This window comes from Homo sapiens, chromosome 7 (genome assembly GCF_000001405.40).
Source record: "Homo sapiens chromosome 7, GRCh38.p14 Primary Assembly".
NCBI classification, from domain to species: domain Eukaryota; kingdom Metazoa; phylum Chordata; class Mammalia; order Primates; family Hominidae; genus Homo; species Homo sapiens.
This window is the reverse complement of record NC_000007.14, coordinates 29,325,951-29,344,960: the sequence shown is the minus strand read 5'-3', so window position 1 is coordinate 29,344,960 and position 19,010 is coordinate 29,325,951. Positions and strand designations below refer to the sequence as shown.

General features: G+C 43.3%; 1 protein-coding gene across 12 annotated transcripts in view, besides 1 other annotated feature; it reads right to left on the bottom strand.

Moving 5' to 3' along the window:
- CHN2 (chimerin 2) overlaps positions 1 to 19,010 on the bottom strand; it is a 367,738-nt gene that overhangs the window by 169,368 nt on the left and 179,360 nt on the right. For 2 of the 12 annotated variants that reach the window (XM_017011722.2, XM_047419839.1), the window contains one exon: positions 14,929 to 14,946. The exons of 9 other annotated variants lie outside the window; for them this stretch is intronic. In XM_017011722.2, coding sequence (XP_016867211.1) covers positions 14,929 to 14,946 — 18 coding nt within the window. Of the gene's footprint in view, positions 1 to 10,387; positions 10,427 to 14,928; positions 14,947 to 19,010 lie in introns of those variants that run through there. One more of the 12 variants, XM_047419841.1, reaches the window with a different exon arrangement.
- Positions 16,661 to 16,861: a silencer, noted in NCBI's record as "peak6458 fragment used in MPRA reporter construct". NCBI's record gives its function as "represses an SCP1 promoter by STARR-seq MPRAs in K562 erythroleukemia cells {active_cell/tissue: K562}" and the evidence as "EXISTENCE:reporter gene assay evidence [ECO:0000049][PMID:32103011]".

Below are 19,010 nucleotides of genomic sequence, written 5' to 3'. Positions count from 1 at the left end.
GAAACCCAAAACTTGCATTCTTCTGAGGGTCCCAAACAAATAACAAGGCAACTGTAACATAGCAAGAGGATGCATACAAGGAGCATTGATGGTGGTAGGACTCCTCAGCCTTTGGAAGGCTGCATGGGGCAGGGGCAGTCAGGCTCTTCCCACACCTTGACGGATCACCTCTGCCTTGAGTAGCCCTGTCCAGGGTCCTTCAAGAGCAGTCTCAGAGGAGTGAAACCTAAGAGCAAGGCCTAAAGTCCCCAAAGACAAAGAGAAGAGTAAGTTCTGTTACCACAGCACGTGGAGCCCAGTCAAGCAGATAGGCTATTGCCTGGACATCTACTGCAGAAGCCCACAGTAAGGAGTGTCTATGTGGATGGATAGGCTCTTGGAGGATACACAAGCTGAGGTGTGGCCTGCAGGAACCAGAGGCAAGACAGGACATGGCACTGAGAGCCAGAAGTGTCTCAGCTTGCTGGCTGAAACAGGCTCTGTTGTGTCTGGATGGGTGGCCAGAGGGTGTTTTGGAGGGGTGAGGGATTATATTAAAGAAGTAAGTAGGGGCCAGATAATTAAGCGTTTTACAACCATGCTAAGGACTTACCTCTTCTAAAGGGCAGGGAAAATGCAAGCGGGGATAATACAGAGTCCAGACTGTATTTGAGAAGGATCATTGCAGTTGAGAGTGAAAGTGGACTGGAGGATGAGAAGATGGGAGAAAGAGAAGAGAAGAGGCAGTGAGACCAATCAAGGGACTGTCCAGTAACCGAGGAAGGTGACATTAATGATCTGAACTTGAATGGTGGCAGTGGAGACGGAGAAAATGGGATGGACTTGAAGGACACGGAGAAGACAGAATCTACAGGCCTTGATGACAAGCTGGACATGGACAGGGAAGGAAAGGAGGGAACATGACTTCTGGCTTGGGCAGAGGAAGATGAATGGTTTTTGGCTTAAGCATCTGGATGGGTAGTGATGCCATTCACAGAAAGGGGCAGACCAGGGGAGAAGCAGGCCTGGCAGACAGCAAGGCTCTCAGCTTTTGCTGCTGGAAAGCGATGGCTGAGGAATGGCCAAGTGAACATCTCTAAGAGACCTGCAGTTCAGAAAAGAGGCCTGGACTGGAGATCCAGGAATGGAAACCCCAGCATACATATGGCAGCTGTAGCCACTAAAGTAGATGACATGACACAGGGGGAACATGAGAGTGGGGGAGGGAAGGCTTTGACAGAGCCCCTGAGGAGCACCAGCACTGAAGGGATGAGAAGAAGAGGGAAAGAGGCAGAGACCAGAGCGATAGGAGAGAAACCCCAAGATGGGGCGACATGAAAGGCAAAGCACAAGACATTTAAAAAGGGGGAAGTGGTTAACAGAGGCAGCAGCTGCTCCAGTGAGATACACATGGAGAGAGCTGTTGCTGCAGCAACATGGGGGTTTCTCATGACCTTGCAATGGGGTATGGGTGGAAGCCACAGGCAAGTGATGTGAAGGTCAAGTAGAAATTGAGAAAATAGAGCTTGTAAGAGGGAGGTTTGATGGAGAAATGAAAGCAAATGGTGGCAATACAGGGAGACAAGGGGTTGAGGGAAAGAAAAGACACAGGAGCTTCAATTTGGTTATCATCGTCATTACCTTTGCCAAACCACTGGCCATGTCCCTGATCTCCCTCTCTCCCGAGGCACTCTCCCTACTTGCTGGTACAAAATGCAGATTTATCACAGCCAGCTGGAGATGCTTTCCTGGTGGACAATTTCCTCTTTTATTATTCACACACTTCCTCCCCTGCTTTCTTTGGAGACAACCTCACCACCACTACTTCTATTCAACCTAGAGGCCTGTCTCTCCTCCCCAGACATTTGCCTTCCAGTAGCTCCCTGCCTCTTTACAAATTATTTTCATCAAAGGAATGTTTTCCTGGCCTTCCTCCAGAAGAAGCCCTTTTGGGTATTCATTTATTCATCCAACAAATATTTACCCAGAGCTTACGCCCTAACTGGCACAAAATAGTGCACTAGACATGGGTGCAGATATAAAGGCAAGATGCAGAATCTAACCACAGGAATCAGTTAGGAGAAGAAATAAGACATCAACTTATTCATTCATCCAATGAGCACTAACTGACTGCCTGCTGGGTATCCGGCCCCTGGCCACATGTACATATCACCATAACACAAGGTAGAAAGCGGAGTGTTATAAGGGCAAGATCAGACCTAAAGTGCTGCTAGAATGGAGGGAGAAGATTATTTTACTCAGTTATTTCTTAATAGTTATTCTTTTATTCATCTCCTTCCTGAAGAGGTTAGCTCTTAGACAAGGAGAAAATTTAGATATATCCCCAGTCAGCTCTCCACTCTTTCCATTTAGAAGAGCCAGCATTTTCTCCTACTATAATGATATATTTTTTGGTGCATCTTGAGTTCACTGTGGGCATTTGTGTCTCTTCAGATATATGATGGTTGTGGCAATGACAGACAAACCTCTCATTAAAGCAACCCATAGATCATGGCCCTGGCATTGTTATTACTGGCAAGCCAAGAAATATTTTTTTGGCCATAGTATATTCGGAGTCAAGTAGTCCTGAAGTAGAGATGGAAGAGAAGCTGAGGTCCTCCACTACAAGTGGAAAGGAATTTTTAAGTGCCTGGTTATTCCAGATTCTGGGATAGTCCCCTTCCATACATTATCTGGGATCTTTATAACTTTCCTGAATAATCTCTCCATCCATTCATCTGTTCATCCATCCATCTAACCATCCAGCCATCCAGCCATCCCCTCATCCATCTACCCATTCATTCTTTCAGCAAATACTTATGTGCCAGGCACTGTACCACAGGATAAAGATATAGCTGCGACCAACGCAGATCCAGTCACTGCTTTCAAGGTGCCTTCAGTCCAGCAACAAAGGCAAATGAACATCAAACAAGTGATTGTAAGAAACTACAAAAAGCGTTCTGAAAGACAAAGTTCAGGGTGCCCAGGAAGCATGGAACAGAGGTCCCTGAAGGTATGTTTTTATCTCTTAGAAATGAGGGAACTAAAAGAGATTATAGTCACTTTCCCAAGGCCACATGGTTGGTGAAAAGGTAGAATTCAAATCCAGATCTGTTTGGCTCTGGAGTCCATTGATTTTTCTCCCTATGACCCTAGTCCCATAGGAGGAATCAGCAGTACAGAAGCTAAAGTGAAATTTTCAGTTCTTTCTCATGTCTGGTCTGCTTCAATGATAGAACATGGTTTGAACATTGTAGAAAACAGCACTAGAGAATTAGAAAAAACTCATGACATTATTTAATTTTCTGCCACCTTTTAGAACAAATAAAGTAAAATCTCACTAACTGAGATGCCCCCCTCCCTCTCTCCCTCCCATCCTTCTCTCCTCCCTCCCTCTTTCTGTCCCTCCCTGTTCTTCCTCAAGGATCCTCTGCATATCAGGTACTACTTGCAACTCTTCCCCAGATTTCATTGTCAATAGAGATACTATTGATCTCTATTTATACAGATACAGTGCTCAGTGCTGGCCTGGCAACAAATGGGCTCTCTGATCTAGCACAGTCATTTCTCGCAACTGGCACCATCCATAACAATTGGTGCGGTTAATATAATTGTAGTAATTCATATCAAGAATGGGCATGTCGGCAGCCAGTCACTCTGGCCCATGCTTGCCACATCCTTGTTTGTCTTACAGGCTGAAATCAGAGCCCACTGCAGTGGAACTGGACGGACTATCAGAGGGCTACCGACTGTACCTCCACACGTGAAGGAGGGAGCTCTAGAGAGGGGAAGGATGAGAACAAGGCAGAAAACCGTGCTCTTGTCAATAACCAAGAAGAACCTGAAAGATGACAGTGGGTTTCTTGCCCCAGCTCCACTCTCAGTTCTGGGTGATTTGGGGCTACTCCCTCAACCTTGACCCACATGGGCCTCGGTTTTCCCATCTGTGAATATAGAGACGGGGCTAGACACTCAGTAAGCGCTCTCCTGGTGGGAAGCTCAAGGACGCCTTCAATTCTCAGTCGCCTAGCAGCTGCATTCTCCTACCCAGACCCTGTGATTGAAGCTGTTTGACGTGACTCAAAAGTTCTAAGGCAGCATGTGGGTGCCAGCAGTTGTGGTGAAGCCATTCTTCCTTCCTTAAGGAAACAAGCGCACCCTTTATGTGCCAGGGAATTACCTACATGTCCCATATATGTGCCGAGAATTAGTCTAAATGAGGACATGCTTTATGCCAAAACACACTCCTGGCCTGTGAGGGAAACTCAGTAGGTGAACTCCTGTCCTCTATCTTGTCCTATATTTTCTCCCTGGGGAGGTGGGAGCAATTTGTCTCTTGGCTTTGTGCCAGCCCGTAGGAGCACTGTCCAGTTGGTACACAGTTGCCTTCCTGGTGGTCTAGCTCTGCAGCACCTGGAGGACAGTTAAACCTGCTTAATTTGGGGGCTCAGTGGTTAGCAAGCACACATGGCTAATAGCCTTCCTGCCTGCCCTTACTAATGAAAGTGCCACTTCAGCCTGGACCTGCTCTGCAATGTTTGATTTGTTTGTTCAGGGCTGCTAAATATTGAGGCCCCCCCCCAAGCAACCCCCTGCAGAAGGCAGTGTGCATTTTCCTGATGAGATCTTCCCCCAAAAGATTTCTGAATATAAAAACTTTTCATAACATAAAGGAAATGGTCAGATATTTACTCATAACACTTAATTCAAATAGGCATATATACCTGAATTCATTAATTCAGTTATTTGTACAAATTAAAACTCATGCTTAAAATAATACACAAATTTAGAAATATTGCTTTCTTCAACTCGATTTCATGGAACAACTTCAATTTTTCTGCATGTATATTTGAGCTTCAAATGATTTTTAGTCATCTAAGACATTTTTTCCCACAGCACATCATGCTTGCTTGTTCCTTGATCTTTTGAAAGAAAAAAAATTGTAAAGTCCCTGTCCAATGCTGCCACTGGACACTTTATCCACTTACAGTCACACTTTCACATTATATAAGAGCAGCTGGATTTTATTCATCTTGAAGGTGGTCTCCACAACATAGCCTTATTATATTGCTATATTGGCATATATATTATATTATTATATACAGTATTGTTATTATTTTTTTTTTTTGAGACGGAGTTTCATTCTTGTCACCCAGGCTGGAGTGCAGTGGTGCAATCTTGGCTCACTGCAACCTCCACCTCCCTAGTTCAAGTGATTCTCCTGCCTTAGCCTCCCAAGTAGCTGGGATTGCAGGCACGTGCCATCATGCCTGGCTGATTTTTGTATTGTTAGTAGAGACAGGGTTTCACCATGTTGGCCAGGTTGGTCTTGAACTCCTGACCTCAGGTGATCCACCCGCCTCAGCCTCCCAAAATGCTGGGATTATAGGCGTGAGCCACCGTGCCCGGCTAGCATTGTTATAATATGGCTAACAAAAAACAATATTGTTATATTGCTTTTTAAAGATATCTTTTAAAATCTGCTGTGGAATACTATGAAGGCACAAAAAGGAATGAGGTGGCTAATATCGAAAGCTCTCCAAGATGTTCAATTTTAAAAATGAGGCATAGCTCGGGGTTTCAGTGCATGAAACAGGTCTGGAAGAGACTGCTAAGGGCTGAGGTTGTGTCTGTCTGCAGAGGAGATCTGGGTGGCCGAGGGTCAGGAGAGGTAGGGAGATTTGGTTTTCACTTATATCCTTTTACATAATTTACATTAAAAAAAAGTATAGCAAACTTTTTAAAAGGTTGTTTACAATTACATTTAGCACTTGTTTAAATATACCTAGGTTAAATTTCTTAGCTTCCTTTTTTAAAAATGATTCCATGAAGTGACCACTACAAAGGTCCAAAACTATCCCTGATTAACATCATTTCAAGTCTACTGTGACTTTTCCAGAATGTAATTGAGGGTTCAAAATAAATTAACTGAGTAATCCAATAGTATGACAGGCTTTGTATAAAATAAAATCTAAGATAACATTCCTTTTGTGAAAGATAATTTTGACAGATATCATGTAGATATCTTAGCCTTTATTAATAGTCTTTCATTACGTTGTTAGATGTTTTGTATGCAGTGTCTTATTTAATACTCATAACCAGGGCTGGGTGCAGTGGCTCATGCCTGTAATCTCAGCACTTTGGGAGGCTGAGAGAGGGAGATCACTGGAGGTCAAAAGTTCAAGACCAGCCTGGCCAACGTGGTGAAACCCTGTCTCTACTAAAAGATACAAAAATTAGCCAGGCATGGTGGCACTAGCCTGCAATCCCAGCTACTCAGGAGGCTGAGGCATGAGAATTGCTTGAACCTGGGAGATGGAGGTTGCAATGAGCTGAGATCGCATCACTGCACTCCAGCCTGGGTAACAGAGCAAGACTCTGTGGCAAAACAAACAAACAAAAAACTCACAACCAGCTTATAAAACAGGTATTATTAGTCCCATTGTACAGGCAAATAAACAGAGGAATAGTGAGGTTGCCCAGAATCACATAAATAATCACATATATTAATCATATAGTGAAGCTGAATATTCAAATCTAGCATTGTCCGGATCTGAAAAGCATACTTTTCTTCATTACAAAATTCTGTCTCTCATACTAGACACTGCAATGTCCTAGGACTGCACATATATTATCACACTTCATTTCCAAACAGCACTATGAGGTGGGTACTCTTATCCCATCTTACAGACTTGGAATCTGAAGCCCACAGAGGATGGTGCCTTGCCCAAAGTTGGCCAACTCATTTGTATCCCATAAGAATAAATTATGGCCAGTAACATGTACACCCAATAGTCATCTTGGGAAGACTGACCTACCATATTTTATCATAGCAATCAAACTCATTTATGTCACAACATTCAAGCTGTTACTTCAGTCTCTCTGTAAGTATATTAAGCCTGCCTTCATCTATTTCCAACCTAAACCTTACCCCTTACTGTAAGACCAGTAAAAATAGATGGGGCCCAGTCAGGCTGTCTAGTTGGCTCTGATTCTTGAAGCCTCCTGAGACTGGGAGCCTCCAGTTTTCCTTTCCTTCTGGGTTTTGGTGTTCTGTGGTTTCTTATCACTTGCTTTAAAAATAACTTCAGGGAAAATATTTCTAAAGATCACACGCACTGCATTAGCAACACTTCAGACACCCCATCAACCACACCACAGAGCAACAAACAGCACAGGAAGCGTGTCTGTGATGTACAGGAAGAAGCAAGAGTAAGGACCCAACAGCCGAAACAATCCCTCACAACCTGCAAGATGCTAACTGAAAGCTCCACATTAAGCTCTGCATTAGCATGCATTTATCACTTCCATGCCAAATGCTTGAACAAATGTATGCAGGAAGGAAAGCTTTCCTGTCACCCCGTGGCAGCCTGGGTGACAGCATCAGTAGGTCTATGATTAAAGGGTTAAGAGTAAGGCAAACAACAAGTGGTCCCAATGATTTCCGCAAGAGAAAGTATTCACATTACATAACAGAGTGAGAAGAATAGACCCCCTCTCCGCACTCTGCTGTTATGAGTGTTGCATGTCTTCATAGAGTTGGGGACAGCTGTACTGCGTGCTGGCAGCAGTCATATCCTCTTGCTGTTTGCACAGTGGGACATTTGTCTTCCTAATCGCAGCATGTGAAAGTTCCTACTTCCACTACCAGAGTCTGAAACTAAAATTAAAACAAACCTTTCCTTAATAGTTAGCTCCTGTCTGAAGCTGTTTGTACTGGTACCCTCTGTTTATCTATTTTCAGCAGCACGGTCATAAGGAGGAATTGTATATTTACACACCTGTGCCTTTATAAAAGATCATTTGTTCATGTTCTCCTCTCTCCATTTAACAAACATTTACCCATCACTCTATTCCTGATCCCAAGTTAGGCACTGGGTACACAAAGATGACAAAGTCCTTTCCCTGAAGCAGCACCCAATCCTAGAGGGGAAGCAAGCAGAGGGGAGTGTATGAAGGAGTGCATGCAAGGGTGGTGGGTGCCGGAAGACAGGAGCCAGGTTCCTGGCAGGGGCGAATGGGAAGCTAACAAGGAAGACCTCACAGAGGAGATGACATTGGAGCTGGGCAGTGACGGATGAGTAGGAGTTTGCCAGGCCCTGTGCCAGGGAGGGAGAGAAAGGTGGAATGCTTGTTGTTTTCACTTCAAGCATTCTGAGAAGCAAGGAGACTTTCTGGTTTGCATGTGAAGCTTTTTTTTTTTTTTTTTTTTTTTTTTTTTTGAGACAGAATCTTGCTCTGTTACTCAGGCTGGAGTACAGTGGCACAATCATGGTTCATTGTAAACTCAGACTCCTGGGCTATAGAGATCCTTCTGCCTCAGACTCTGGAGTAGCAAGGACTACAGGTGTGCAGTACTATGCTTAGCTAATTAAAAATTTTTTTTTGTAGAGACAGGGTCTCACTATGTTGCAGGTTGGACTTGAACTCCTGGTCTCTAACTCCTAGGCTCAAGAAATCCTTCCACCTTGGCTTCCCAAGAAGCTAAGACTACAAATGCATGCTACCACACCCAGCTAATTTTTGAATTTTTTTGTAGAGACAGAGTCTTACTGTGTTGCTCAGGCTGCACTTGAACTCCTGGGCTCAAGTGATCCTCACCCTTGACTCCCGAAGTGCTGGGATTACAGGTGTGGGTCACCATGCCCAGCCTCAACGGCGTGTTTTCTCACACTGGATAGTTAACCATTTTTATTGGGAGTCAGTTCCTCAACAAAAGCCGTCTTTCAGTACCTGTCTTACATAGCCAAATACTGGAGGGTCAGGCAATCTTTCAAAGCTGACAGATTTCAGGCTTGCAATCTGTCAGAGGGCAATGAGAGGGCCACAAGGGAGATTCTCCAGGAGGAATCTGCTGTCCCACCTTCTCTTGTAGGCAAACGGCCCATTAGCTCTTGCTGCTCATGGAAAAACTCCCATCACGACTGTCCCCAGTGAGTATCTTCTGGCTTCTGGTAGAATGAAGAGGTGTGAGTCCCACTGCAAAGCTACCCCACTGGAGCTGTCCGTGTGTCCCCTCGGTTTTCCCTGGCAGCTTTACTCTCCTCAGCACCAAAGCAGAGCCGAATGCTTGTACACACCAGGTGCTCAATAAATGTTTGTTTGCTCAACCCACTGGGTGACCACTATTAAAGTGGAGGAAGAAAACTAAGATTCTCTTTAGGAATGTCTGCACAGCCATTGGTACTGCTTTTACAGTGCACAGTGCAACTGAGGCAAACCATCTCCACTGTTCACAATGTTGACAGGACTAGTCAGGCACAAGCTGGCAGATCTGATTAAAGAGGAAAAGAACAATCGAGTTTATTGTAAGTCTCCTTCCTCGCCAGGATTTGCAGAGTGCCTTACCTGACACATGCAGGCTCTAGTACAGACTACCAACTAGTATGGTGAGGATCTGGCTGTCAAAACTCAAAAACTAGAAAAGGAAAAAGCAAAGAAAACAGCCAGAAATGACTAGATTTGGGTTCCCTAAATAACATACTGAAAGGTCCTTTATCCTCAGTGCTTGTGTCTGCTGAAGAAGCACTTACTGAGAGCTTCCTATGTCCACAGCTTCATGCCCTCTATGGCAGGAAGTGGGTGCTCCTCTCTGGGCCTTATCAGACCATTTATACCAATTAGTAGTAATGTCTGAGATCAAGAGACTGAGCCTCCAGCAAGGGCTGTTTTTAGGTTTTCATATGCAACCTTTGGCTTTTCAGGAATTGGTTCTATTTTCAGAATTAATCTGTTATATTGCAATAGGCATTTCTACTGGGCCCAGCACCATGACAGAGAATGCATGAGTGACTCCATATTGTTCCACTCCCGTAAGCACCACTACCCTAAATAGATGGCTCCAGAAAGAAGGCATGCTCTGTTCTTGACCACTATTGAAATGTTTACTGATGATTTTAGATGTCTTTTTAGATGCCTTTTATGTCACCAATATTTTCAAAACTATTATATTCAACCTATTCAAAAGGTATCCACTGATTAAGATAACTTATCTCTCAACACTTAGGAAATGAATCATTCCGGGTGTCAGTAATGTCTTAGAAACAATGCAAACACTAAGTATACAAATACACTCCTGCACATCTTCCTGTCCGCACATGGAGGGGTATTTCTGCATTTGACCTTCCCACTCCACTCTAGTCCTTTGACCCTAGCCGTTACACTTAGGGGACAGAGTCACGACAAGCATGAAACTTCCTTTTTTGTTGTTGTTTGTTTGTTTGTTTGAGACAGGGTCTGGCTCTGTCGCCCAGGCTGGAGTGCAGTGGTGCAATCACAGCTCACTGCAGCCTTAAACTCCTGAGCTCAAGTGATTCCCCGACTTCAGCCGCCTGAGTAGCTAGAACCACAGGTGCACACCACCGCACCTGGCTAATTTTTAGAACTCTTTGTAGAGATGGGGTCTTACCATGTTGCCCAGGCTGGTCTTGAACTCCTGGGCTCAAGCGATCCACCCACCTTGGGCTTCCAAATTGCTAGGATTACCGTGCCTGGCTGAAACTTCTAAAACCACAGAATTCCACACAGAATTACATTAAGAATGTTTCTAATTTTTCACCATTGTGGCTTTGTGATGTCAAATTGCCATGACTTGATATGCCAACATTTTCTACACTCATCATGTAGGGTAAAATAGTCACTATGAAATTGAATTTAGGCTCCCAGCACTTTGGGAGGCCAAGGCGAGTGGATCACTTGAGGTCAGAAGTTTGAGACCAGTCTGGCCAACATGAAGAAACCCTGTCTCTACTAAAAATACAAACGTTAGCTGGGCATGGTGGTGAGTGCCTCTAATCCCAGCTACTCAGGAGGCTGAGGCAGGAGAATCACTTGAACCGGGAGGCAGAGGTTGCAGTGAGCCGAGATCGCGCCACTGCACTCCAGCCTGGGCAATGGAGGGAGACTCAGTCTCAAAAAAAAAAAAAAAAAAAAGAAAAGAAATTGAATTTATCATTTGGCTTTTGAGATGTATTTAATCTTTTCTTATAGCAAGGTGGTCAAATCCATTGATTGTCAAAAGCCAGGTAATCTTCAAAATGTCCAGAACTGCAGGACTCCATGCACACAGCACTGCGCATTTTCTATCATCATCTACCTTTTCTCACCAGCTCACACACACTCATCTGGTCCCTGACTCTCGGCCATTACTGCTGAAAATCCAGAACTCACCACTATGAAAGATACTGCTTCCGGCAGCCACTGGTTTATGGGTGGGTTGGGGTGAGGGTGGAGCATAAATTGGAAAACCAGAAAGAAGTCTCCAGCTGGAGAAGAAATCAGCCAGGAAAGCGCTAGTGGTAGGAATAGACCATGTTCAATATGAAACCGTGCCATGATTTCCTGAATTTAGAGCAGCATTCTGCCCCTAATTCCCAAGTCTGCTAGCGCATTATGTTCATCCAACCTGCTTCCAGTTTTTATTTTTAAAACTATACAAATAGAATGGGCTAACTTAAAGCAATCAATTTCATCTGTAGTTCTTTTTTGGATCCTTTTTCCTCAAGAGACCCCAATTTCTTCCTGAAATGCTCTTAGCTGCATGTACCTCTCCCACTCACTGTGTCATCTCCTCTCCAAAGCATGGTCATTTTCTGAGAACAAGACTCTGAGCAGGGCTCTGAGACATCTTTCAACAGCAGCCCCGGCATGAAGCTTTAGCAGCTGTTGGCTCAGAAAAGGGCGGGTCAGGGTATGGTGGCATAGTCCTCCACTGACGCCTGGTGTGGGACAGCCGTGGAGGATGGGATACAGAACTAGATGTGCCTCCCCTGTTCCCATTGCTGCTCTGTACACCCCAGCCCAGCTCTGTTCTGCTGGGAACCTAGCATCCTTCACTTACTCTCTACTTCCTACTTCCCAGCTCCACAGACTACCACTGTCGGAGACAGAAGCATGCCTCTCCCTGAGCTGTGAGAAGGGAGAGAGTGTGGGTGCTTCTCAGCCCACTACAGCCCATGTTTCCTTTGAATGAACATGAATACTCCATGCCGTTATCCTCACCTCCTTTCTGACTCCCTGTGCAGAGAGGACATCTTCCTAGACAGGATCCCAAGCCAAGATCGAGCCGTCGTCTCTGTAGAGTACAGAAGCTCCTCAACTTATGATGGGGTTATGTCCACATAACCCCATCATAAGTTGAAAATATCATCAGTCAAAAATGCATTTAGTAAACCTAACCTACCAAACACCATTTAGCTTGCCTTAAACGTGCTCAGAGCACTTACATTAGCCTACAGTGGGGCAAAATCATCTCACACAAAGCCTACTTCATAATGAAGTATTGAATACTTTACACAGATGGACATTTTGTAGACATGATGGGATGTGAATAACATAAAATATACTATCCAAAAATCACTTGGCAACACAGTACACTGTGGAGGATGGGCTGTTTACCCTGGAGACCGTGTGGCTGACGGGGAACTGTGGCTTACTGCCACTGCCCAGCATTGCGAGAGAGCATTTTAGGCCGTATCACCAGCCCGGGAAAAGATCAAAATTCAAAATTCATAGTACGGTTCCTACTGAATGCATTCCGCTTTTGCATCCTCATAGAGTAAAAAAATTGTAAGTTGAACCTGACTAGTCGGGGATTGTCTGTATTAGCAGCTAGCAGCTGTATTTAGAGTGCTCTGTTCCAGGCTAAGTATTTTACAATTATCTTTTCATTTCAGCCTCCCAAGAACCCCACAGGGTAGGCACGATCATTTTCCCTACTTTAAAAGAGAGCAAACAGAGCTTCAGAGAGAAAATTGCCCCAGAAAGCCCAGCTGGTAAGGGGCCAAGCTTGGGTGGAGCTTGGACAGTCTCGCGCCACTGCGGGAGTTCTCAACCGCTGCTCCATGAGGCTGTTTATTTTCTCCTTTGGATGGATATAAATCATATTAGAATATTGGCCTTTTTTCTTTCAGATCACACAAGCCAAATCTTCACCCAAATTATCCTTCTCTTTTTTTTTTTTTTTTCTTTTGAGACAGAGTCTCGCTCTGTTGCCCAGGCTGGAGTGCCGTGGCGCAATCTTGGCTCACTGCAATCTCCACCTTCTGGATTCAAGCAATTCTCCTGCCTCAGCCTCCTGAGTAGCTGGGATTACAGGCACGTGCCATGTTGGTCAGGCTGGTCTCAAACTCCTGACCTCGTGATCCACCCACCTCGGCCTCCCAAAGTGCTGGGATTACAGGCGTGAGCCACCACACCTGGCCCCAAATTGTATTTCTTAGGGGAACATTGCACTTGTGTTCTTTTAACCACCCTCTGCACTCCTTCCCTCTCCCAGTCAATCCAATGAAAAATCACTGTTCATAATCTCCCGATTTTGAAGGGAAGAACTGATTCTCCGACAAGGGGTAGTGTCTGCTTCTCCCAGGGGTCTCTTCCATGCCAGGGTGTTGACCTCTACCAACCACACTACTTCAATTCCGTTTCCTCTGGCTTCAGGTTCAGTCAATGGAAGGCAGGGCAGGAAAGAGGGGGTGGCGGGAGAAATGCCGGAGGTACTGCTCTCTCCTTGCTCCAGTGCTGCAGTTCAGGCAGCAGACTGGACCCCCTACAGCCACCACTGTCCCAGTTCCTCTTCTGTGGCTCTAGCCGTCCCCAGGCTCCAGTAACACAATTTCCTCTTGTTGCCCCCTCCAGACCCGGGGTTGGGAATGGCTTCCCACTCTTGGCCACTCCCAGATGCTTCAGACTCTCTTAGTTCTCTCAATCTGCCGACACCTCTGTCAACAGACCCTCCATTAACTGCTCTTCAACATCCCAGCTGAGTGTGCCTTCTGTCCCCACAGGGCCTTGACAGATGTCCTCCGTCACCCCCTAGACCATAGCAAAGGCTAAGACAAGACCTGAGTATGACTAAGATAATTTATTTTTTGTAGTGATCTGACTTGCTTTTTATAAACTGGAGTCATATACGTTGCCCAAAAGGAGAGGGAACTTGGACATCCTTCTACATTTTCCATAACTCTGTCTCTGTTCCACATGGCAGCGTAGGGAGAATTTCAGGCCCACAAGCAAATTCACTCCCCACTGCGATGTTTAAATGGGTTAAATTTAGAGTATGAATAAACATTGATCCTTGCTACGTACTACCTAATTTCACATCTGTAATAAACTTCCCATGCTATACCATACACCTTTAAATGGACTCACTGTATGCAACGGGACTTTCGTCTGAGCCTCTACTTTTTCTAAAAATAAAAGCAATAACACCACCAACGCTCTCCCCTTTCCTTTTCTGTGATGTATTCTGAGCACAAGCAAGGCTTCAAAGTTAAGGGGTTGTTTTCCTTTTCTTCATATAATACGCCTGCACACAGCTGCAATTATGGGATTTCTAAGAATTTCAATGATATGTTCTTGATGCTAAATTATTACTTTGTTTTTCTAAAACACACACTTATACACAACATCCAAGAACATGAATTTGTCTCTGGAAGGTCAATCAGAGGCCAAATTTACTTTCAAAAGACAAGTTTCAGCAAGGCCACCTTCATGAATTCTTCATTAATTGCAATAAATAAATAAAAACCATCTAAGCGGGGGACTCTCTTTTTCTTACGTTGTCCAACTGTGTAAGGTTCTCAGAGTGGTAACAATTCCCAACTGTACTCACACAGAAATGACCCAATCTGACCCTGTGCACTGGGATGAAGGTCAACGGTGCAATATCGTAATCATCTTATACACCCAGAGCCCAGTAGGAAAGCACTTTACTACGAACCACTATGTTGAATGAGGCCACTGTTATTTTACAAAAGAGACTGGGAAACATAATACATTTCAAGATGACTTTAGGATATGAACATACACTGAGGTGGAACACATTATTTCAATAAGAAATGGGTTACATCAGTAAATGTGATTAAATACATAAAATCCTATTACAACAACCTGACCAGCTGTTGACGTAGGTACTTTGAGAAATAGGGAAATATAGAAGATGATTCTTACCTTCAAGGAGTTTATAGTCTGGCCAGGTTAGAGCATAAAAAGAGAATTAACAAGCACATGAAAATAGGTACTGAAAGGTGAGATATGAATAGTCCAGACAGTGAGAGCTCTGGGAGTTCAGAAAAGTGAGAAACCACAGAAAACTGTCATCTAGATTCCTCAAGGAAAATATTTCTTCTCTGAAAAGCCACAGTTCCTGTTTTAAGAGTTATAAGAGGAAACTTTAAATGACCTAATTCAAACATGTTTTCTTTATTGTACAGATTTGCCGACTAAACAATATAATATTAAAACGCTTTAGGATCATCCAAACAATGATAAAAATGCACTTATTTCTTAATCTGTTTCTGCAGTTTACAGACACACTATACATTAATTATTACTGAACTGGCAGGAAGTACACACGACTCGAGAATAGCTGGCTTTCAGAGAGTGAGGGCGGTGAAATTATATTCTTTCCTCACCACTTTTCTATTGATCTTCTTACAGCAATTTCAGAAATGCTGCAAACAAATAATTTACATCTGATAAGAAAAGACAGGCCCAGAGAAGATAGGTGATCAAAAAATGAGAAAAATCTCTGGTTGGCCCATGTTCTATTATGAAGGGCACACTGTCCCAATTGCTGACTTTTTTTTTTTTTTTTTTTTTTTTTTGCCTTATCTGAAGGTTTAAAGCTAGTGTGGAAGGTAAGGAGGAGTTAAACTCTTCCTGTCTGTTTGCTGTCAACACTCATAATTTGCCAGCCATACTACTATTTCATTTCACTGTAGTGCATAGCAAATCGTGATCAAGCTCAGTAGAAACAGAAGCCATTCTTGGGTTGGGCTAATGATCTTCAAAGTGCAGAGGAGGGAGTCTCTTTTTCCTCCTCCTTTTCCCTTCCAGTCTATCTGCTGTCCCATTCATTTTGACTTACTTGGAATTGAAAAAGCAACATTTTTCAGTCTGCAATGAATAACCCCAGACAGTTGTGAAACTGCTAAAAGGATTCCATGTGGCCCTTTTAAGTATGAGCATGATTCTTCAGGTAGTTCATAATCAGTTAATGGTGCCCCAAATGATTTTTAGCTGTCATAAGCACCATGACTGTTTTCTGAAGAATTTAGAGATGTTTCTTCAGAAATGACAGCAGTTATTGCAAAACTTTTCTTTTCATCAACAGATGGTGGAATTTCTTTTTTTAACTTCCAATTACGAAAACATGTCTCGACTTGTCATTTTAGGCTATTGTAAGCATTTGACCTCCAGCATAAGGCACAAGGAGAAACAACCGTGTTTACCTGAGACTCGATTTATAAATTAGTATGTTGATTCAGGGTCTGGATTAGCCTTTTTCTGCTGTTTCTTTTTTTTTTTTTTAATTCAGCAATAGTGTGTAATTTAAAATGTCAGGAAATGGTAATAAAAGAGTGAAGGTTTTTTTCCTGCCTAGTAATTATGCTTGAGTATTAAAGTTATAATATACAAAATAAAAACTATGGTTATTTAGCATTTAAAAATTTTTTCTTCACACCATACTGTTGGTATAAAAGCCTCTTTTATACACGTTTCTCTGATTATCTATCCACATGTGCATTCTCTATATAAATTCAGCCCAAGTTAAACTCTCAAAAGAAATGCTCTTGTTATATCTTCATCTCAGTCTTTTTTGGCCATTCATCGGCTTGAGACTAAGGGGAAAGAAAAAAAGACTTTGAACTAGAGTAAAATGAACTAGCCTGTACTCTTGCAAATCTAATCTAAAATGAGTGTGTACATTGGACAAGCAGTCTTGTCTAAAAAAGGAAGTGTTTGCCTAAGTTAAATAAAGAATGACCATGTAGAAAATACGATTCAGACTTCTCGGGTTCCAGATCCAAGGAGGAGGGTCACTGTTACAAGGCCGAGCAGAAATGAAGACGCTGCCCAGGATGAACTCTCTTTAAAGACTCACAGGCTGGAGTCTCAAAGAACAAGCATTTTCATGGACACTAACTATCTCTGTGCCTATGGAGTATCTCAGCTTTCTGTTCAAAACGTCTATAGAATCCATGTCTGACAATCAAACATTATGCTTTGGAGAGGTTATTTTCTCTGAAGGTGCTGATTTTTTAAACTTTTTTTGTCTTACCCATTTTCTCTGGAAGGTTGAAAGAAGCACAAAGAAACAACATTCCGGCTACAAAATGAATAAAAAATAAGTGCAAAGACCAAACTGTTAAATTAACTTTAAACTTTACGATTCAAGGAAGAAATTTTAAATGTGTCAAGTTGTAGGCAGCATTTAAGGCCGTAAACTGGTTATTATCCTATAGCATTTATACGGCGCTCTAGGCTCCAGATGCTTCACAACCACTAATTACACACTTCTCTGGCTATCCCAATATGGGAGCACCGCGTCATTAACCACATTTTACAGGCAAAGAATCAGGACTTAAGTGATGGGCCTCAAGTTACAGACTAAACAGAAGGTAAAAAGAAGGAATCGGATACTTAGAGTCTCCAGTCCAAGCAGACATCTTGCTTAGGCTTATCTTAAAAATGGAAAAGAATTAAATATCGCTCCAGATATAAAATATTTTATCTCAACAGTGAGAAAACTAGAAGTTTCGGCACTCTCCAGAAGCAAAACCGAAGTCCCTGAAGCTGATCCACAGCAATGGCCCTCAATAGCAGACATCAGAGTCCCCTGTAGGGATTAGCAAAACACAAACTCCTGAGCCTTATCTCCAACTTTTCTGGTTCAAACAGTCTGGGATGGGGCCTGAGAATTTGCATGTTTAAAAAGTTCCCAAGGGATGCTTATGTCAGTGGTCTGGGGAGCTCACTTCTGTGAAACCGACCTTCTACTTCACCTCAAAGCCCTTTATCATACACCTCAGGATCATCCCTCTCTCCAGCATTATCTCCACACTGGTGCTTCCCTTCCTGTTGGCTTTGCTTTCCAGCTTCCTCATCCCTGACTTAAGTCAGATGTCCTATAGGCAGAAATGAGGCCATGTAGCAAGGTGATTAATAGCCTTGGTTCTCAGATATATCAGGTTGCCTCCATTCATCTGAAGTTTAAGTACTTCCATTGCTATACTTGTAAAATGGGATAGAATAACATCTATCCTATAGGATTAATTTAAGGGTTAATTGAGGTAACCCATTAAAGCACTGGATACCTAGCATGGAATAAGAGCTCATTCATAATTATTATTATCAGTACATATTCATCCAACAAGCATTTGTGGAACACCTACTATACTCTATGAAGGATCGTGGAGGTAGAATGACAAGTCTGATCCCTGCTCTCAAGGAGCTCAATATCTAATTTTTGAGCTAGATGGGGTCCTCAGAGTCATCTATGATATTACACTACATGGACACTACAAAGACAAGCCCATTAGTAGGAAAAGACAAAACAAACCAAATAAGACAAAGCAACAACAAAAACCTTTCTTCAAATGAAAGCTTAGGCAGAAGACCAATAGGTAAGTATGGAGCTGCTCTGGTGAACAGGGACAAGGGAGGACAGGATGTCTCTCCACATGTCCATCCTGCCTCTACCCAGGCTTCCATGGAATGCAGCTCTTTAGAAAATCAAAGAATTGGCCAGGCGCAGTGGCTGACACCTGTAATCCCAACACTTTGGGAAGCCAAGGCAGGCGGATCACAAGGTCAGGAGATCAAGACCAGCCTGGCCCACATGGTGAAATCCCGTCTCTACTAAAAATACAAAAATTAGCTGGGCATGGTGGCACTCACCTGTAGTCCCAGCTACTCGGGAGGCTGAGGCAGGAGAATCGCTTTAACCCAGGAAGCGGAGGTTGCTGTGATTCGAGATTGCGCCACTGCACTCCAGCCTGGCGACAGAGTGAGACTCCGTCTCAAAAAAAAACAACAACAAAACAAACAAACAAACAAACAAACAAACAATAATTTCTCTAAAATCGACGAAGACCCAAAGAGGTGACGTGACTTGCATATAGGACACACAGCCAACTATAGTGGTAAAGACGGGATAAGATTAGGAGAAAGTATCTTAGAATCACATGCTGGGAATGACCTTACAGATGATTTAAAGTTGATCCAATGTTCTCATGTTATAGAGAAGG